General features: G+C 48.9%; 1 long non-coding RNA gene across 1 annotated transcript, besides 8 other annotated features; it reads left to right on the forward strand.

Moving 5' to 3' along the window:
- Positions 121-666: an enhancer, noted in NCBI's record as "H3K4me1 hESC enhancer chr2:232266008-232266553 (GRCh37/hg19 assembly coordinates)". NCBI's record gives its function as "activates a minimal SCP1, AML or CMV promoter by ChIP-STARR-seq in naive H9 embryonic stem cells {active_cell/tissue: H9 hESC(naive)}" and the evidence as "EXISTENCE:reporter gene assay evidence [ECO:0000049][PMID:30033119]".
- Positions 9232-9837: an enhancer, noted in NCBI's record as "OCT4-NANOG-H3K27ac hESC enhancer chr2:232275119-232275724 (GRCh37/hg19 assembly coordinates)". NCBI's record gives its function as "activates a minimal SCP1, AML or CMV promoter by ChIP-STARR-seq in naive and primed H9 embryonic stem cells {active_cell/tissue: H9 hESC(naive and primed)}" and the evidence as "EXISTENCE:reporter gene assay evidence [ECO:0000049][PMID:30033119]".
- Positions 9838-10442: an enhancer, noted in NCBI's record as "OCT4-NANOG-H3K27ac hESC enhancer chr2:232275725-232276329 (GRCh37/hg19 assembly coordinates)". NCBI's record gives its function as "activates a minimal SCP1, AML or CMV promoter by ChIP-STARR-seq in naive and primed H9 embryonic stem cells {active_cell/tissue: H9 hESC(naive and primed)}" and the evidence as "EXISTENCE:reporter gene assay evidence [ECO:0000049][PMID:30033119]".
- Positions 10987-11326: a silencer, noted in NCBI's record as "silent region_12426". NCBI's record gives its function as "represses an Ori minimal core promoter by ATAC-STARR-seq in GM12878 lymphoblastoid cells {active_cell/tissue: GM12878}" and the evidence as "EXISTENCE:reporter gene assay evidence [ECO:0000049][PMID:35858748]".
- LOC124907997 (uncharacterized) lies at positions 11120-13288 on the forward strand. Its single transcript, XR_007088118.1, has 2 exons — positions 11120-11749; positions 12800-13288. It is a non-coding gene; the product is annotated as an uncharacterized LOC124907997 (long non-coding RNA).
- Positions 12537-13297: an enhancer, noted in NCBI's record as "NANOG-H3K4me1 hESC enhancer chr2:232278424-232279184 (GRCh37/hg19 assembly coordinates)". NCBI's record gives its function as "activates a minimal SCP1, AML or CMV promoter by ChIP-STARR-seq in primed H9 embryonic stem cells {active_cell/tissue: H9 hESC(primed)}" and the evidence as "EXISTENCE:reporter gene assay evidence [ECO:0000049][PMID:30033119]".
- Positions 13298-14057: an enhancer, noted in NCBI's record as "H3K4me1 hESC enhancer chr2:232279185-232279944 (GRCh37/hg19 assembly coordinates)". NCBI's record gives its function as "activates a minimal SCP1, AML or CMV promoter by ChIP-STARR-seq in naive H9 embryonic stem cells {active_cell/tissue: H9 hESC(naive)}" and the evidence as "EXISTENCE:reporter gene assay evidence [ECO:0000049][PMID:30033119]".
- Positions 17264-17765: an enhancer, noted in NCBI's record as "H3K4me1 hESC enhancer chr2:232283151-232283652 (GRCh37/hg19 assembly coordinates)". NCBI's record gives its function as "activates a minimal SCP1, AML or CMV promoter by ChIP-STARR-seq in primed H9 embryonic stem cells {active_cell/tissue: H9 hESC(primed)}" and the evidence as "EXISTENCE:reporter gene assay evidence [ECO:0000049][PMID:30033119]".
- Positions 19227-19727: an enhancer, noted in NCBI's record as "H3K27ac hESC enhancer chr2:232285114-232285614 (GRCh37/hg19 assembly coordinates)". NCBI's record gives its function as "activates a minimal SCP1, AML or CMV promoter by ChIP-STARR-seq in naive H9 embryonic stem cells {active_cell/tissue: H9 hESC(naive)}" and the evidence as "EXISTENCE:reporter gene assay evidence [ECO:0000049][PMID:30033119]".

The raw sequence follows: 20904 nt of genomic DNA on the forward strand, positions 1-20904 counted from the left end.
GGAGTTTTGTCTGGGACTCATCCTGCTACATTTCTTGGTTCCCTGACCGGGAAGCGAGGTAATTGACGGACGGTCGAGGCGGCCCCTTAGGCGGCTTAGGCCTGCCCTGTGGAGCATCCCTGCGGGGGACTGTGGCCAGCTTGAGCTACGCAGATCCTGAGAGCACTCCCGGGTAGGCAATGCTCTTGACGGGTGGAACACCTCGTCAGAGCAGTGTGTGGCAGGCCCCCGTGGAGGATCAGCACAGTGGCTGAAGGAACGGGCACTTGGAGCCCGGACATCTGAAACTTGGTAAGACTGGTCTTTGGAACTTGCCCACTCCATTTGAGTGGAAGCATGTCCTGATCACCCACGGTGTGCCTGTACCGGCACTTTGGTTTTTGTTTTTGACTTGACTTGAATTGCTTGATACTTTGGTTTTGGTTTTGACCTGGCTTGGATTTCTGGATACTCTGGGTTTGGTTTTGATTCTGGTTTGGTGTAAACTGAAAAAGTGTGTGTGTGCCCTTTTTACCCATTCTTTGTTCTGTGGTGTGCGTGCGGTGTGAGCTTGGTGTTTTGTCTCAAGGAAACACGGGTCAGACACAAGGTAAGCCTACTCCGCTAGGAACTATGTTGAAAAATTTTAAGAAGGGATTTAACGGAGACTATGGGGTTACTATGACACCAGGGAAACAGAATTTTGTGTGAAATAGATCGGCCAACATTAGAAGTGGGTTGGCCATCAGAAGGAAGCCTGGACAGGTCCCTTATTTCTAAGGTATGGCACAAGGTAACTGGTAAGTCAGGACACTCAGACCAGTTCCCATACATAGACACTTGGTTACTACAGCTGGTGCAAGACCCCCCACAGTGGCTAAGAGGGCAGGCAGCAGCAGTGCTAGTAGCAAAGGGACAGATAGCCAAGGAAGGATCCCGCTCTACCCACTGGGGGAAATCAACTCCTGAAGTTCTGTTCGACCCAACATCAGAAGATCCATTGCAGGAGATGGCACCAGTGATCCCAGTGCTGCCCTCCCCTTACCAGGCAGAGAGGCTCCCTACTTTTGAGCCCACAGTGCTTGTGCCTCCGTAAGACAAACATATCCCTAGGCCACCCAGAGTAGACAAGAGAGGAGGTGAAGCCTCAGGAGAAACCCCTCCCTTGGCAGCTTGTTTAAGACCCAAAACTGGGATACAAATGCCCCTGAGAGAGCAGCGGTATACTGGGATAGAGGAGGATGGTCACATGGTGGAGAAGCGTGTTTTTGTGTACCAGCCCTTCACCTCTGCCAACCTTCTCAATTGGAAAAACAATACCCTGTCCTATACTGAAAAACCACAAGCTCTAATTGATTTGCTCCAAACTATTATCCAGACCCATAACTCCACTTGAGCTGATTGCCACCAGTTGCTCATGTTCCTCTTTAACACAGATGAAAGGCAGAGAGTGCTCCAAGCAGCAACTAAGTGGGTACAGGAACATGCACCGGCTGATTACCAAAACCCCCAAGAGTGTGTAAGGACCCAGTTACCAGGAACTGACCCCCAGTGGGATCCAAATGAAAGAGAGGATATGCAAAGGCTAAACCGAGACAGGGAAGCTGTCTTGGAAGGATTAAAGAGGGGAGCCCAGAAGGCCACAAACGTTAACAAGGTCTCTGAGGTCATTCGGGGAAAAAGAAGAAAGTCCAGCACAATTCTACCAGAGACTGTGTGAGGGCTATCGTATGTATACTCCCTTTGATCCCGTTAGCCCTGAAAATCAGCGAATGGTTAACATGGCTTTAGTTAGTCAAAGCGCAGAAGACATTAGAAGAAAACTGCAGAAACAGGATGGGTTTGCAGGGACGAACACATCACAGTTATTAGAAGTAGCTAACCAGGTGTTTGTAAACAGGGATGCAGTAAGCCCTAAGGAAAACCGCAGAGAGAATGAACGTCAGGCCCGGCGAAACGCCGAGCTGTTAGCTGCAGCAGTCGGAGGGGTCTCCTCAAAGAGGCAAGGGAAGGGGGGACCCGGGAAAGAGACTCAGCCTGGCTGTCAGAGCTTGCAGTGTAACCAGTGTGCTTATTGTAAAGAAATAGGATATTGGAAGAACAAATGCCCCCAGCTAAAAGGAAAACAAGGTGACTTGGAGCAGGAGGTTCCAGACAAGGAGGAAGGGGCCCTGCTCAACCTGGCAGAAGAGTTATTGGACTGAGGGGGACCGGGCTCAAGGGCCCCCAAAGAGCCTATGGCCAGGATGACAGTCGGGGGTAAAGACATTGATTTTCTTGTAGATACTGGTGCTGAACATTCAGTAGTAACCGCCCCGGTCGCCCCCTTCTCCAAAAAGACTATTGACATAATCAGAGCCATGGGAATTTCAGCAAAACAAGCTTTCTGCTTGCCCCGGACTTGTACTGTAGGAGGACGTAAAGTGATTCATCAGTTTTTATATATGCCTGACTGTCCCTTGCCCTTGTTGGGAAGGGACTTGCTTTGCAAGCTGAGAGCCACTATCTCTTTTACAGAGCATGGCTCTTTGCTGCTAAAGTTACCTGGAACGGGAGTCATTATGACCCTTACGGTCCCCTGAGAGGAGGAATGGAGACTTTTCTTAACTGAGTCAGGCCAAGAGATAAGACCAGCTCTGGCTAAGCGGTGGCCAAGAGTGTGGGCGGAAGACAACCCTCCAGGGTTGGCAGTCAACCAAGCCCCCATACTTATAGAAGTTAAGCCTGGGGCCCAGCCAGTTAGGCAAAAACAGTACCCGGTCCCCAGAGAAGCTCTTGAAGGTATTCAGGTCCCTCTCAAGTGCCTAAGAACCTTTGGAATGATAGTTCCTTGTCAGTCTCCATGGAACACTCCCCTCCTGCCTGTTCCCGAGCCTAAGACCAAGGACTACTGGCCGGGACAGGATTTGCGCTTGGTTAAGCAGGCTACAGTGACTTTACATCCAGCAGTACCTAACCCGTACACATTGCTGGGGTTGCTGCCAGCTGAGGACAGCTGCTTCACCTGCTTGGACCTGAAAGATGCTTTCTTTAGCATCAGATTCGCCCCTGAGAGCCAGAAGCTGTTTGCCTTTCAGTGGGAAGATCCGGAGTCAGGTGTCACTACTCAGTACACTTGGACCTGGCTTCCTCAAGGGTTCAAGAACTCCCCCACCATCTTCGGGGAGGAGTTGGCTCGAGACCTCCAGAAGTGTCCCACCAGAAACCTAGGCTGCGTGTTGCTCCAGTACGTTGATGACCTTTTGCTGGGACACCCCACGGCAGTCGGGTGCGCCAAGGGAACGGATGCTCTACTCCGGCATCTGGAGGACTGTGGGTATAAGGTGTCCAAGAAAAAAGCTCAGATCTGCCGACCGCAGGTACGTTACTTGGGATTTACTATCCGACAGGGGGAGCGCAGCCTGGGATCAGAAAGAAAGCAGGTCATTTGCACTCTACCGGAGCCTAAGAGCAGAAAGCAGGTGAGAAAATTCTTAGGAGCTGCGGGGTTTTGCAGACTGTGGATCCCAAACTTTGCAGTATTAGCCAAGCCTTTGTATGAGGTCACAAAGTAGGGGGACCGGGAACCTTTCGAATGGGGATCCCAACAACAGCAAGCCTTTCGTGAGTTAAAGGAAAAACTTATGTCAGCCCCAGCCCTGGGGCTACCCAATCTGACAAAGCCTTTTACATTGTATGTGTCAGAGAGAGAAAAGATGGCAGTTAGAGTTTTAACCCAAACTGTGGGGCCCTGGCCGAGGCCAGTGGCCTACCTCTCTAAACAACTAGATGGGGTTTCTAAAGGATGGCCCCCATGTTTGAGGGCCTTGGCAGCAACTGCCCTGCTAGTACAAGAAGCAGTTAAGCTGACTCTTGGGCAAAACCTGAACATAAAGGCCCCCCATGCTATGGTGACTTTAATAAATACTAAAGGACATCATTGGCTAACAAATGCTAGACTCACCAAGTACCAAAGTTTGCTCTGTGAAAATCCCCGTATAACCATTGAAATTTGTAACACCCTGAACCCCACTACCTTGCTTCTGGTATCAGAGGGCCCTGTCGAGCATGACTGTGTAGAAGTGTTGGACTCAGTCTACTCTAGCAGACCTGACCTCCAGGACCAGCCTTGGGCACCAGTAGACTGGGAACTATACATGGATGGGGGCAGCTTCATCAACCCACAAGGAGAGAGAGGTGCAGGGTATGCAGTGGTAACCCTGGACACTGTTGTTGAAGCCAGGTCGTTGCCCCAGGCCACTTCACCCAGAAAGCTGAACTCATTGCTTTCATTCGGGCCTTAGAACTCAGTGAAGGTGAGACTGTAAACATTTACACTGACTCTCGGTATCCCTTTTTAACCCTTCAAGTGCATGAAGCATCATATAAAGAAAAGGGCCTATTGAACTCTGGGGGAAAGGACATAAAATATCAACAAGAAATCTTGCAATTATTAGAAGCCGTATGGAAACCCCACAAGGTGGCAGTTATGCATTGCAGAGGACACCAGCGAGCTTCCACCTTGGTGGGCTTGGGGAATTCCCGTGCTGACTCAGAGTTCCGGAAAGGTAGAGCAGATGAATTGGACTATCAAAAATAGTTAAGGGAAAGTATGTCAGGAAACAGGATTAAAATGGATACAGGCTCTCCCTATGGTATTATTTAAAATTAGATGTACCCCTTCTAAAAGAACAGGATATTCCCCTTATGAAATATTATAGGCCCCCTCCCATATTGCGGGGACTTCCAGGCACTCCCCGAGAGTTAGGTGAAATTGAGTTACAGCGACAGCTACAGGCTTTAGGAAAAATTACACAAACAATCTCAGCCTGGGTAAATGAGAGATGCCCTGTTAGCTTATTCTCCCCAGTTCACCCTTTCTCCCCAAGGACTGGAACGTAGCCTCTTTGTGCCCACGGTGGAAAGGACCCCAGACTGTCATCCTGACCACTCCCACCGCTGTGAAGGTAGAAGGAGTCCCAGCCTGGATCCACCACAGCCGTGTAAAACCTGCAGTGCCTGAAACCTCAGAGGTAAGACCAAGCCCAGAGGACCCTTGCAGAGTGACCCTGAAGAAAACGACAAGCCCTGCTCCAGTCACGCCCGGAAGCTGACTGGTCCACGCACGGCCAAAGCATGAGGAAGCTCATCGTGGGATTCATTTTTCTTACATTTTGGACTTACACAGTAAGGGCTTCAACTGACCTTACTCAAAGTGGGGACTGTTCCCAGTGTATTCACCAGGTCACTGACGTAGGACAGCAAATTAAAACAATCTTTCTGTTCTATAGTTATTATGAATGTATGGGCACGTTAAAAGAAACTTGATTGTATAATGCAACTCAGTACAAGGTATGTAGCCCGGGAAATGACCAACCTGATGTGTGTTATAACCCATCTGAGCCCCCTGTAACCACTGTTTTTGACAGAAGATTAAGAACTGGCCTTTTCCCAGGTGATACAAGTAAAATAATAACTAGAACAGAAGAAAAAGGAATCCCCAAACAAGTAACTTTAAGATTTGATGCTTATGCAGCCATTAATAGTAACAAGCTAGGAACAGGATGTGGTTCTCTTAACTGGGAAAGGAGCTACAGAGTAGAAAATAAATATGTTTGTCATGAGTCAGGGGTTTGTGAAAATTGTGCCTTTTGGCCATGTGTTATTTGGGCTACTTGGAAAAAGAACAAAAAGGACCTGGTTCATCTTCAGAAGGGGGACGCCAACCCCTCCTGTGCTGCCGGTCACTGTAACCCACTAGAACTAATAATTACCAATCCCCTAGATCCCCGTTGGAAAAAGGGAGAACGTGTAACCCTGGGGATCGATGGGACAGGGATAAACCCCCAAGTTGCCATTTTAGTTAGAGGGGAGGTCCACAAGCACTCTCCCAAACCAGTGTTTCAAACCTTTTATGAGGAGCTGAATCTGCCAGCACCAGAACTTCCGAAAAAGACAAAAAATTTGTTTCTCCAATTAGCAGAAAATGTAGCTCTTTCCCTTAATGTTACTTCCTGTTATGTATGCAGGGGAACCACTATCGGAGACCGATGGCCTTGGGAAGCCCGAGAGTTGGTGCCTACTGATCCAGCTCCTGATATAATTCCAGTTCAGAAGGCCCAAGCTAGCAACTTCTGGGTCCTAAAATCCTAATTATTGGACAATACTGTATAGCTAGAGAAGGGAAAGACTTTATCGTCCCTGTAGAAAAGCTTAATTGTATAGGACAGAAGTTGTACAACAGCACAACAAAGACAATTACTTGGTGGGGCCTAAACCACACTGAAAAGAACCCATTTAGTAAATTTTCTAAATTAAAAACTGCCTGGGCTCATCCAGAATCTCATCAGGACTGGACGGCTCCCACCGGACTATACCGGATATGTGGGCACACAGCCTACATTCAGTTACCTAATAAATGGGCAGGCAGTTGTGTTATTGGCACTATTAAGCTGTCCTTTTTCTTATTACCCATAAAAACGGGTGAGCTCCTAGGTTTCCGTGTCTATACCTCCCGAGAAAAGAGAGGCATAGTTATAGGAAACTGGAAAGATAATGAGTGGCCCCCTGAAAGGATCATACAATATTATGGGCCTGCCACATGGGTACAAGACGGCTCATGGGGATACCAAACCCCCATCTACATGCTCAATCAGATCATACGGTTGCAGACCGTCTTAGAAATAATTACTAATGAAACTGGCAGAGCTTTGACTGTTTTAGCTCGGCAGGAAACCCAAATGAGGAATGCTATCTATCAGAATAGACTGGCCTTGGACTACTTGCTGGCAGCTGAAGGAGGAGTTTGTGGAAAATTTAACTTAACCAATTGCTGCCTACAAATAGATGATCAAGGACAGGTGATTGAAAACATAGTCAGGGACATGACAAAGTTGGCACACACGCCTATACAGGTTTGGCACAAGTTTGATCCTGAGTCTTTATTTGGAAAATGGTTTCCAGCTATAGGAGGATTTAAAACCCTCATTGTAGGTGTATTGCTAGTAATAAGAACTTGCTTGCTGCTCCCCTGTGTATTACCCTTGCTTTTTCAAATGATAAAAGGTATTGTTGCTACTTTGGTTCATCAGAAAACTTCAGCACACGTGAATTATATGAATCACTATCGCTCTATCTCGCAAAGAGACTCAAAAAGTGAGGATGAGAGTGAGAACTCCCACTAAAAAGTGAAAATTCTCAAAGGGGGGAAATAGGGAATGAGACCACCACTTCTCCTGTTGTCCTTCCCAGCTTCTCCCCAACCTCCCCTTTTCCCTAGTTTATAAGACGGGAGAAAAGGGAGAAAGCAAAAAGCTGGAAAGAAACAGAAGTAAGATAAATAGCTAGACGACCTTGGCGCCACCACCTGGCCCTGGTGGTTAGAATGATAATAATAATATTAACCCCTGACCAAAACGACTGGTGTTATCCGTAAATTCCAGACATTGTGTGAGAAAGCACCGTAAAACTTTTTGTCCTGTTAGCTGATGTGTGTAGCCCCCAGTCACGTTCCTCACGCTTACTTGATCTATTATGACCCTTTCACGTGGACCCCTTAGAGTTGTAAGCTCTTAAAAGGGCTAGGAGTTTCTTTCTCGGGGAGCTCGGCTCTTAAGACGCGAGTCTGCTGACGCTCCCGGCCGAATAAAAACCTCTTCCTTCTTTAATCTGGTGTCTGAGGAGTTTTGTCTGCGACTCATCCTGCTACACTGCTATTTCTCCCTCCTCAGCACAGGTCTTCCCACAGTTCTCTCTTGGCCAGCCGGCTGCATAATTTGCAGAGCCCAGTGCAAAATGAAATTACAGGACCCTGGTTTTAAAAAGGTATTAAGAATTTTAAAGGTCAGGCTCACGCCTGTAATCCCAACACTTTGGGAGGCTGAGGTGGGAGGATGGCTTGAGCCCAGGAATTTGGGACCAGCCTGGGCAACATAGAGAGACCCCTGTCTCTACAAAAAAAAAAATTTTTTTTTTTTGAGACAGAGGTCTCATTCTGTCGCCCAGGCTGGAGTGCAGTGGTGCGATCTCAGCTCACTGCAAGCTCTGCTTCCCAGGTTCGCGCCATTCTGCTGCCTCAGCCTCCCGAGTAGCTGGGACTACAGGCACCCACCACCACGCCTGGCTAATTTTTTTCTTAAAAAATTTTAAAATTACCTCAGAGTGGTGGCACGCACCTGTCTGGGGCCAAGGTTGCCAGAGATTGCCTCGGGATGCTGAGGTGGGAGGATCCCTTGAGCCCAGGAGGTCGAGGCTGCAGTGAGCTGTGATCGCATCACTGCACTCCAGCCTGGGTGACAGAGCGAGACACTGTCTCAAAAAAAAAAAAAAAAAAAAAAAGAATTTAAGATTGCCACAGCAGAGCATTGAGCATTAAACCAAGTGCTGGGAGCTTCTGAGGGAGGCCTGCGACTGTGATGCCAGCCCTATTTGCCCCTCCTCATCCTCAGAAGCCAGGTCCTGCTCTGGGCTGCAGAGAGGGGATTGGGGCTCACAGTTCAGCATGGGAGAGGGCAGCCCAGGGACACCCAGAAAATGGAGGTGTACAGGCCACAGGACCCAGGCCCAGGTGGAGGCCCAGAGACGGTTATGGGTTCAGCTGCCCCTGAAGGATGAGGCAGAGGGAACCACATATACCAAGGGCTGCTGGGAGCAGGGTGGATGCATTCTGAAGCGGAAAGGAGCTCCTCTCGGGGCTGGACCTGGGGTGAGAGAAGGGGTGGGAGGCTGGGAGGCAGGCAGGGCAGTTTCTCAGGTCTTCTAGGTTCAGGAGTACTTTAACTTTATCCTGAGCACAAAGGGACAAAGAGCAGGGGTTCACGGCAGCCTGAGGGAGCAGAGGGCAGTTTTGAGGCACCTCCACCCCTCCCTCTGGCGCACTTTGGCCCATTCTGGCCAGCTCCAGTGGGGCCCCACTCTGGAAAATCAGGCATTTAGTTTTGCTTCCTGGTAATGATAACAACTGACATTTTATGGAGCACATTTCATATGCCAGGCACCCTGGTAAACATTTAACGTGTAGTCAATATGACTTTAACTCAGGGTACAAATATGGTTACTTTTTAATTTTTCTCATTGATTGCTCAAATCCCTCATGTACCATTATTGGCAGAAAAATCCAATATCAGCCTCTTGGAACCCACTCTCAAATTGTCCAAGAACCTCAGGGATTTCCCTCCTCCAAAGAGAGGGTTCTCTGGAAAGTCTGAGCAGTCATCTCCAGTTGTTCCCTCTCTCTCCACACAGGGGCGCTGTGGAACAGCGGGCCTGCACAGTCCTGTGGCTTCTGAGGCTTGGCTACCTTCACTGCACAGGCTGCGGTGGGGCCTATGCTTCCAAAACAAAGTTACCCTTCTCTCAGTCACCCTCACAAGCTCAACGACCTTTCCCCAGAGAGCAGCAGCATGCCAGGGGTGCTGGGTCCTGTGGCCCCCCAGTCAGCTACACAGTCTGTGGGGGAATCCCACAGACTCAGGTTCTCTCTGGCCTGGTGAAGCAACTTTTTAGACAGTAGATTTTAGTTGGTCCCAGGGTCTTAACTCTTTCCTCCTCAAAGGCCCTGGCTTTGCAAAATGGTTCCCTCCTCCCCGGCAACTGGCTGTGCATTCCAAGGGGCCTTGAAAAGGGGTAGCCTTTGTCAGTCCTCAAAAAGTCCAGTTCCACTCTTCCCCCAGGGTAATGGGTGCCTACTCAGCCACATTTACATAACTAAAGGAGACCACTCAAAGAATCCTACTCTTAACAAAGAAAGCTGTTCCTAGGTGACTTATTCTGTGCACCTAAACTGAGAAGGAGCAGGGGGAAGCTTCTGGAATCCTGTTATACACCATGTTCAAAGTAAGAAATGGAGGGCTCTAAGAGAAGGATCCCACGGCTATTGTGTGACAGGCACGATTTGAACTCTGTGCCCTGCACACCTAACCCCCATACTCTACTGTCTCCCAAGAGCCTCCAGCCTCCCATCCTTTTTCCTTAGCAGTAACTTAGTCACAAATATCTGTGTTTGTTGTTTCTGTCTAAAAGGAGGAAAATGTTATGTCCAATGAGCGATTGAAACTGTGATGGTTGGGGGAGCCCAGCGTTATTAGGGCTGTAAGAAATAAATGTTTCCAGAGAGTTATTTAAGCTATTGTGAAGAAAAACTTTTCTGTTCCAGTGAAACACTATACATTATCTAAAGCACAGCCAGACCTGTCTGCTTCCAGCCCCATTCACGGTCTTTGAGCTATTTTGCACCTCTTTTTAAGTTGCAAGTACTGAGGGCTTTGCAAACTGTCTTGTCAGGTGAAGCTTCCATTGACTTCTCTTCCACCCCCCACCAACACCCCCACGGTGGAAAAACCAGTTTGCCGCTGTTTGCAATTCAATTCCTTCACTCCATATAAATTTGTGCTTTTTGATGTCTCCTTTGAACCAGATATAACATCTACCTTGTCCTTTTTATGAGTAAAATAAATCTTTAATACATGCTCATTTTTTATTTCTGAACAAGGGTCATGAATCTACCTTTTTCTGAAAATTGTCTTTTACCAATTGCCTTTATGTGAAAATGAACACAGATACATTATCGAACAGAATGCAATTTTTGCTTATATTTCTAAAACAAAACTTGAATCTTGGAATACATTGTATACTCACTGAAGACCCTTCCAAAGTGAGCCAAAGCTTAGAGCTCAATCCTTTTAGAGGGTTTTGCCCCCCGGGAATTTGAGAAAATATCTAGTCCAGATCGCAACCAGACAGAATGAATCCGAATGAGTGAGTGGGTGGGGCGCGAGCCCAGGCATTTTTTATCGCTCCCAGGTGACTCAAGTTGGGAACTACCGGCCTGGGCTGGGATTGACTGACCCTGCCGTGCAGCCTGTGACCTATCACAAATCACCTTGGCTTTGTTTTTCCTCGGTGCGGCCGAATCCCACAGGAATGCGTGGAATCCCTGCCCTCACCCATGGCGAAGCTGCCCCCCTCGGGCTCCGCCTGCCCCCCGCGGCTCCTCGTCGCCGGGCAGCCAGGAGCTGCTGGGTGGGCGCGGGCGTCCCGGGGCGCGGTGCGACCCAGAGCCCCTCGCGGAACCCGCCTGGGCTGTGCAGGGGACAACGCGTTCGGCTGTCGAGGGTGGGGGAGCCCTGTGTGTGTGGTGGGGGTGGCATCCGATGGATCCCGGGGGCCTGCGGAGGAGGTGGGCATCTCGGCGCCACCCGGTGCGCGCCCCGAGCGAGGGCATCTCCCCTCGAGACCAGCCCGCGGAGCTGCGCGAGGCGTGGGGTAAGGCGGCGTAGACCTCCCAGTGCCGGCTGCAGGGCCGCGGGTCGGGGCGGGGCCCCGCGAGGAGCAAGGGGCTGGCCGGGCTGGAGGGCTGGGTGAGTCCCCGCCCTGGCAATCCCAGAAGAGGGCAGGGAGCGCCCCCAACTGACCGCCGGGGGCATCGTGACGCTGAGGTGGATGGGAGACTGCACGATTTGAGCAGGTTGTGTGAAATCTGGAACTCCATTACTTGTACCCCAAGGCATCTTTTTTATGCGGATTTAAGCTGGAAAGCGCCACACCAAGCTGTTAACAGGAACTGCTTCCTGGCACTGAGATTCCAGGGGCTGCTCGTTCCTTTCTCTGGCTCATCTGTGTAAGGAAGACTTTCCTCCGTGAGCCTTTCCACCAAGCTCAGGCCTGAGGCTTAGGAGAAATGTGCGAGATCCCGACAGCCTCGGAGGGAGTGAGGGGGCTTCGAGACCCTCAGGGCCACCTTAGGGGCCTCTACCAGGGAAGGAGAAATGATCTTGTTTCACCGGCCAGGGAGGTGAGTGCAGCCCCTTCAGGACCTCAAAAATCCCTACTGGGGGCCCACCCTCAGAGGCCTGGTGAGGTCAGAACTAAGGCCTTGGATAGCAGGATACAGTTTGCTGTTCTAATTGTTTAGTATCTGATCTCATAGACAAATGACACAATAATCATTTTTTCATAAAATCTTAATATATAAAGCCAACGATGGTAAGGATATGTTTGGTTTCAAGTGACATGAGATTCTGCTCAGTTGGGCTTGGTGGCTCGCACCTGTAACCCCAGCACTTTAAGAGGCCTAGATGGGCAGATCGCTTGAGCTCAGGAGTTTGAGACCAGCCTGGCAACATGGTGAAACACCACCTCTACAAAAAAGTACAAAAATCAGCCAGGCATGGTGGCATGAGCACCTGTAGTCCCAGCCACTGAGGGTTGCGGAGGGGAGCTGAGATGGGAGGATCCTGGGAGGTTGAGGTTACAGTGCCCATGCACTCCAGCCTGGGTGACAGAATGAGACCCTGTCTCAAAAAAAATAATAATAATAAAAAGAAGGAAAGAAAAGGAAAAAAGAAAGTCTGCTCGAACTGGTTGCGACCAGCAAGGAGATGTGTGGGCTCACAGAAGTGAAAGTACAGGGATGCCTGCCTCAGGGGCTGATGCAGGACAGAAATATAAAACAGCCACTCCCCATACTGGAGCTGCCTAGCTGGAAAGGGGCAGGTTGAGATTGCTCTCAGGTGGCCTGACTGCAAAAGCTGCATGTTAGCCACCACTCAGACACGTGCTAGGGTCTGGAGGATGGAGGCAAGTCTGGAAACAGCTGCCTGTCCACCATGACTGCCTGCAATTTGTTAAGACCACCTGCAATTTGCTAAGCGCTGATGGGGAGGCCAGGCTCAGCTCAGATAGCTCAGCTCCCGCAGACCTAGTCGAATGTTTCTTGCTAGATTTTATGTATTTTTGTAACCAAATGCTCCCATTTTTTCTAAGAAAAACGGAATGAATTACTTTTTTTTTAATTATTATTTTCTATTCTCTCCCCTTTCCCTCCTTCCCGTTTCCTACTCAGCCCTTCAGAAATGCAAATGTAACCGTTCACCTCCCCCTAGACATTCCCTTCAGGGTAATTCCCTTCAGGGCAATTTCTTCAACGGCTCCAAGACAGATCTTTTCCTTGAGAGCTGACAGTCGATTTGCTGACAGTTGATTTCCAGACTGAAGCGTACCTGCCACGGAACTTTTACCTCCATGGGGTGACCTTAGAACTTCTGCTCTGCAAACTGGAAGTGACCTTCATCCTCCAGGAGGGTATGTCGAAAGCATTCCCGCTTGGCCACTTTTACAAGTTATTTCTGCCTGGGAAGGCACCAACTCAATTATCCAGTAGATAAGATACGGGGCAACAGGGGAACGCCTGCCTTGCATACTTGCTCACCCCCGACCTTATAAAAGTGTCCATGTTACTGCTCCAAAGGTGAAGCAGCACATGTAAAGGCAGGACGCGTTGTGTCCCTTCCCCAAGCTACCTTTGGAATACATTCACTTTTCTTACACCAGACCTCGCGCTTGTTCATTGGACTCTGCATGCGATGAGCAACTAACCTGCTTTTCAGTTATGCTTTGGAGCCATGTTGTTTAGCACTTAGAAAATAGAGGTGGGTCTGGGCGCGGTGGCTCATGCCTATAATCGCAGCATTTTGGGAGGCCGAGGTGGGTGGACCACTTGAGGTCAGGAATTCAAGACCAACCTGGCCAACTTGGTGAAACCCTGTCTCTACTAAAAATAGAAAAAATGAGCCCAGCATGGTGGCACATCCCTGTAATCCCAGTTACTCGGGAGGCTGAGGCATGAGAATTGCTTGAATCCGGGAGGTAGAGGTTGCAGTGAGCCGGCATCACGCCACTGCACTCCAGCCTGGGCCACAGAGTGAGACTCCATCTCAAAAACAAAAAAAAAAAAAAAAAAAGAAAAAGAAAATAGAGGGTGTCTGATAAAAATGTACCTTCTCTAGTGTGCAGCACAGTAAATCCAGCACCCCAGAGATGTCCTGCCTGGCTCCCTGGAACCCGTCTGTGCACATGATGAGATGTCACCTCTGTAATTAGCTTAGGTTACATGGCACAATTAGCCTTAAAATAGGGAAATATTCTGGGTGAGCCTCATCTAATCCCATGAGACCTTAAAAGCAGAGAGCTTTCTCCCACTGGTGGCAGAAGGAGAAGTCAGACTAGAAGCAGAATTCACATGCCATTGTTGACCTGAAGACTGAGGGACAAGGTGGCAAGGAATGATAGCAAATTCTAGAAGCTAACAGCAGCCCCTGGCTGGCAGCCAGCAAGGAAATGGGAACTTCATACTGAATTCTGCCAGTAATAGAAATGAGCTTGGAAGAGGACCCTAAATTCCAGGGGAGGGATGCAGCTGGACAGAGAACCTAGCCATGCTGTACTGGTCTCCTGACCTGTGGGACTGTGGCAAAATAAATGGATGTTGTGTTAAAAAGAAAAAACCTAAACACTCAGAAAAAAAGAAAAATGTTGGCAGTACAAAGAGATATTGCCAGAAACACAAATATAGTGAGTCTTTAACATACTATTTAACAACCTAGAAGAGATTTAACTTACCAAAATCAGAGACATCAGGCCAGACAGGGTGGCTCACGCCTGTAATCCCAGCACTTTGGGAAGCCAAGTGGGTGGATCACTTAAGGCCAGGAGTTCAAGACAAACCTGACCAACGTGGTGAAACCCCATCTCTACTGAAAATACAAAAGTTATCCGGGTGTGGTGGCATGCACCTGTAATCCCAGCTCCTTGGGAGGCTAAGGCAGAAGAATCTCTTGAACCCGGGAGGCAGAGGTTGCAGTGAGCCTAGATTCCACCACTGCACTCCAGCCTGGCCTGGACAACAGAGCAAGACTCTCTCAAAAAAAATAAAAATGAAAATAAACCAAAGACATCAAAGACCCAAACAATACCATGAGTAGTTTGAATCAAAGATCTGTATCAAATTCTGTACCACACACAGCTTGTATCTTCTTTTTGCATATGAAACCTTTACCATGTATGTGTATTAGAAGGAAAGACAACATCAACTATCCCCCAAGGCAGAAATTAAACAGGCCAAACTCTATGTCCACAATATACGGTAAATCAGAAATTACCCACAAAATTAAACCAAACAAGAACAATGACAAAAATCCTAGCCTGTTTCTTAAATAACTGTTGAGTCAAAGAGAAAGTAAAAACTATAATGGTTCATTGTTTTGAAATCGGGAAGACCACATAATTATATTTAAGGGAATAATGTCAGTTTACCTCATTTTGACTTCAAGGGGTGTTACGTGTCAGGCCTTGGGCTTAAGGCTGTAGCTGCTGAACATTGCCCAATTTAACAACTATAAATGCATTCATTATTGTAAAAATAAAAATAAAAACAAGTGAACTAATGTTTCAACTCAACATTGCACGAGAAGAATTTTATTTTTATTTATTTATTTTTTTGAAACAGGGTCTCACTCCATTGCCCAGGCTGGAGTGCAGTGGCACCATCTTGGCTCACTGCAACCTCTGCCTTCCAGGCTGAAGAGCTCCTCCCACCTCAGCCTCCCCAGTGGCTGGGACTATAGGCACGCCCTCCAGGCCTAGCTAATTTTTATATTTTCGGTAGAGATAGGGTTTTGCGATGTTGCCCAGGCTGGTCTCAGTCTCCTGAGCTCAATTCATCTGTCCACCTCAGCCTCCCAAAGTGCTGAGACTACAGGCACGAGCCAGCACGCTGGGCCAGAAAAGAACTTTATTTATTTATTTTTTTTTGAGACGGAGTCTTGCTCTGTCACCCAAGCTGGAGTGCAGTGGTGTGATCTTGGCTCACTGCAACGTCCTCCGCCTCCTGGGTTCAAGTGATTCCCCTGTCTCAGCCTCCTGAGTAGCTGGGATTACAGGCACCTGCCACCACACCCAGCTAATTTTTGTATTTTTAGTAGAGACAGGGTTTCGCCATGTTGGCCGGGCTGGTCTTGAACTCCTGACCTCAGGTGATCTGCCCGCCTCGGACTCCCAAAGTGCTGGGATTACAGGTGTGAGCCACCACGACCAGCCCAGAAAAGAACTTTAAAGCAGAGTAAAACAAAACCAGAAAAAAGAAATAATAAAGACATAAGAGAGATGAGTCAAATTTAATGAATTTGAAAGGAGTAGATAAATTGTCGGTTATTTTTTTAAAAAAGCATTAAAATAGCTAAACCTATGCCAAATTTAATGAAAGACAAGTGTAATTAGCAAGTTAATTAAATGCAGTTTAAAGTGTAAAAGTATAAGAATTATAATTCATATATGAATAGATTTTTAATTTTTTATTCTTAAAATTAATTTTTTTTTTTTACAGAGTCCTGCTCTGTCGAACCAGGCTGGAGGGCAGTGGAGCGATCATAGCACACTGTAGCCTTGACCTCCTGGGCTCAAGCGATCCTCTTGCCTCAGCCTCCTGGGTAGCTAGGACTACAGGCATGTGGTACCACACCCTGCCATGAGTAGATTTTAAATCTTGTTGAAAAGTATGTGGCCTGAGCAACATGGAAAAACCCCATCTCTACTAAAAATACAAATATTGGCCAGGCATTGTAGCATGCACCTGTAGTCTCAGCTACCTGGGAGGCTGAGGCAGGAGAATTGCTTAAACCCGGGAGGCAGAGGTTGCAGTGAGCCGAGATTGTGCCACTGTACTCCAGCCTTGGTGACATAGTGAGATTCTGTCTCAAAAAAAAAAGAAAAGTATGGTTCAAATAAACAAAAGGAATAGAGTCAAAAAGAAAGGAAGCCAGGTGTGGCACACACCTGTACTCCCATCTATTAGGGAGGCTAAGGTAGGAGGCTCACTTGAGCCCAGGAATTCAAAGCTGCAGTGAGCTGTGACCATCGCACTGCACTCCAGCCTGTGCGACAGAGCCAGACCCTGTCTCTAAAAATAAAGAAAACCCATATGCTCTCATAATCCAGGAACAATTGGAAAGAGTTATCAGTCACCTTCCCAGAGTCTCTGGAGACCATTTGGGCAGTAAGTTCTTTCAGGCAGTAAGGTCTTTCAAACTCCCAAGAAACAACTAGTTCTAGCCTATGAGCCCATTTTTGCCATGGCAAAAAATGACAAGCTCTCCAATTCATTGTATGAAATTAATATAACACTGATCCCAAAGCCAGCAAATAGAGCACAGTTAAATTACCCCTGAATCCCACAAACTGCATTGTAGCCAGAAGCCGCCTTGCTATCCTGGTCTCATAGCTTTCAGGTATTTGGCTCCTCATTTGTTCCTAAATCCTACTGACAGGGACATGAGGCGGGAAAAAAAAAAAAAAAAAGAATCTGCCAAAGATGGCCGGACTTCAGGGGAAGATTACCTACCCCACATCCCCCTTAACAGCTCCCCTTCCCACTGAAAGCCTTTTTTTTTTTTTTTTTTTTTTTTTTGAGAAGGAGTTTCACTCTGTCGCCCAGGCTGGAGTGCAGTGACACATGCCCTCCAGGCCCAGCTAATTTTTGTATTTTCGGCTCACTGCAACCTCTGCCTCCCAGGTTCAAGCAATTCTCCTGCCTCAGCCTCCCGAGTAGCGGGGACTACAGGCACGCGCCACCACACCCAGCTAATTTTTGTATTTTTAGTGGAGATGGGGTTTCACCATGTTGGCCAGGATGGTCTCCATCTCTTGACCTCGTGATCCGCCCGCCTCAGCCTCCCAACGTGCTGGGATTACAGGTGTGAGCCACGGTGCCCAAACCGAGCCATTTTCATTGGCAATAAAATCTCCCACATTTACTATCCTTCAATTCGTTCGTGTGACCTCATTTTTCCTGGATGCCGGACAAGAGCTTAGGAGCCACAAGTGTGGATACGAAAGGCTGTCACACTGGCCCTTCGCCCTCGCTAGCAGAGGGCAGCCATGGGCCCACTGAGAGCTGTTAACACTTAAGCCGTCCGTGGACAGCAGAGCTAAAAGAGCACTCTAACATGGCCTCCGGGGCCCCGGGAGTCGCAGGCACCCTGCCTGGACGCTGTTGTGGGGCCTGAACGAAGTTCACTGCTGCCGGCGCCCAAAAGCGCTCGCTCCAGCTCCTGCACCTGCTCAACTGTGTGCTCCCTTTCACGAGGGTCGGAATGCGGTGGATCTGAGAGAGTGGAGTCTGATCCCGCCCGCACTGAAACAGCTGGCTGGTTCCAGCACTCCTGCGCTCCAGTTCCCGCCTCGTTTGCTGTGTGCTCCCTCCCACCAGCAGTTGAGAGCAGTGGGCTAAGTAAACTAGGCACCCCTGTCCAAAGTCCTGAGAAGGGCTCAAGGAACTATCCTGCTTCACTATTGATCAGTGGTCTCCCTGTCAGGGGCAGATCCGGCCTTCTCTTCTCAAATTATCCTGGGTGATAATACCCATTGGGTTTGTCTCCTGGGTGATTCCCTCCACGGCTGAACCTCACCCACTACCTTCTCGTCAGTGTCATTGACTCTGCACACAGGTTACTGTTGCTCACCCACCACTGGTGCCTCTGACCCTTCTAGGACCATCTAGGTTCCCCCTGAGTAACTCAGGGGCATTGCTGACCAGCTGTGGACCAGAAGGCTCCCTTAGGGCACGTGCTGCATGGTAGGGCTAACTGTGGCTGTCCCCCAAGACCTGTGGGGTCAGGCCCTTCCCTCTGATGTTGGGGTTGGGGACCTTGCAGCGGAGTCAGAGGGAGAAGCTTCGTGTTCCCTCCACCCCAGGATCCTCCACCGAAGTAAGTAATTTGACACAGAGGAAACCAGATGCACAAAAATTAAAAGGATAAACCGTAATTCAGCTAAAATACCCAAGGGTTGAAATTGCCAAAGGACGTGCAAAATTCAAGGAAAAAAAGATACGAAAGTGGGCCGGGCGCGGTGGCTCACACCTGTAATCCCAGCACTTTGGGAGGCCGAGGCGGGTGGATCACGAGGTCAGGAGATCGAGACCATCCTGGCTAACATGGTGAAACCACGTCTCTACTAAAAAAAATACAAAAAAAAATTAGCTGGGCGCGGTCCGGGCGCCTGTAGTCCCAGCTACTCGGGAGACTGAGGCAGGAGAATGGCGTGAACCCGGGATGCGGAGCTTGCAGTGAGCCGAGATCGCGCCAGTGCACTCCAGCCTGGGCGACAGAGAGAGACTCTGTCTCAAAAAAAAAAAAAAAAAAAAAGATACAGAAGTGAAATAATAAAGGTAAAGGAATGAGATAGCCAGGAAAAGATAAGCCAACTTAAACAGAAAAGCTAGGAGGAGCCAGGTAACTCAGAATGGTAGGTGTGCTAGATTGAACAATGTGTGTCTAAAGTCACACACAAACAAAACAATTTCGACCTATGTGTTTTAAAATTAAAAAACAAGAAGTAGCTGGGCACAATGGCTCACACCTGTAATCCCAACACTTTGGGAGGCCCAGGTGGGAGGATTGTTTGAACCTGGGAGTTCAAGACCAGCCTGGGAGACCCATCTCTACAAAAAATTTAAAAGATGAGCCCTGCGTGGTGGTGCACACCTGTGGTTCCAGCTATCAGGGAAGCTGAGGCAGGAGGATCGCTTGAGCCCAGGAAGTCGAGGCTGTAGTGAGCCATGTTTGCACCACTACACTCCAGCCTGGATGACAGAGCAAGACCCTGTCTCAAAAAGGAAAAAAGAGAAACCAAAAGGACCTCCATAAAACAAGAAGTAGCAGGCAGTTGGGTGCAGTGGCTCACCCTGTAATCCCAGCACTTTGGGAAGCTCCCTTGAGCCCAGGAGTTCCAGACAAGCCTGGGCAACATCGTGAGACTCCATCTCTACAAAAAATTCAAAAATCAGCCAACGCGGTGGTGCACCCTTGTAGCCCTAGCTACTCAGCAGGTTGAGGCAGAAGGATCGCTTGAGCCCAGGAGTTCAAGGTTACAGTGAGCTATGATCGTGCCACTACACTCCAGCCTGAGCAATAGAGCAAGACCTTGTCTCAAAAAAAAAAAAAAAAAAAAAAAGTAGCAGACAAAGAGCATGAGCTCATAAAGGGTCATCTGGACTGAAATCTGGGGGTGAAGGAGAGGGCAGGGCCCCAGCACCCCAGCAGCCTGGACACACTCCTGCGCCAGGTGCAGCCCCCTTTTCAGGGGATGAATGGGGGACTTGTCTTCCTCTGCATTCCTTGACCAGCCTGAGTGCCAGCCTCACCTCACTGGCGCTGGAGGAAAAGCAGTGGCCTACGGAGACCCCAGTCCCAGGCTGGCTCCTGTTCTTGCTCCAGACAGAACTTTTGAAGCCCTTGGTGTTGCTAAAAGTGCTTGTTTCTTGGCCCCGCTCCTCTCACTCTGGGGACTAGGAGGGCTGAGGCTGTTATCCAGGTTGACAGGGACTGCTTTGTCCCTCGGTCAGGGCTCTGTCCTCACAACCTTTCCGGGCCTTCTCAGAGTCTGTGGGCCACCCATTTGGCCACCCACACTGCTGAGGGTCACCGGGCAGAAAATGCGGAGTTTCTGCATTCCATTTGAAGCTGCTTGGTGTTCCGTCTGAACAAACCATGGTGTATTTAACCAGCCTCTGTGGATGGACGGTGCTAGATCAGTCCTTGTTAATGTAACATCACTCCCATCCCCTTCTACATCTCCCTGCATTTCCAGAGCCCCTTTCCAGTATGTCCTAGGCTGAATTCTGCCCATGAAGGAAGCAGAAGCCATTGGTCTCCAGCAGCTACTATGGTTAGGCAGCAAAACTCATGGCAGACTCCTTTCCTCGGCTTCTGGGCATCACCCTGCATGACCCCCACTGCAGTGCTATAAGCAGCTGAGATCCAGCCAGACACAGTGGCTCACACCTGTAATCCCAGCACTTTGGGAGGCCAAGGCTGGCGGATCACTTGAGGTCAGGAGTTCGAGACCAGCCTGAGATCCTTGGTGACAGCTTCCGGCAGCTCCAGGTGTCCCCCTGGGCATCATGTGCTTTGGCCCTGCCAGCACCGAGGATCACTGGTGATGACTTCCCTGCCATCTCCTAACTTCTAGAACTTTCCTGGCCTTTCCTCTCCCAGCCCTTCCAATGCTTCTCTTTCTGCTCAAAATACCTAGAGTGGCTTCTGTTTTCTTGATTGAACCCTGACTGCTACAAACAATACCCTCGCATATCCTGCACATGCCAGGAACACATGC

Source organism: Homo sapiens, chromosome 2, assembly GCF_000001405.40.
Source record: "Homo sapiens chromosome 2, GRCh38.p14 Primary Assembly".
NCBI lineage: Eukaryota > Metazoa > Chordata > Mammalia > Primates > Hominidae > Homo > Homo sapiens.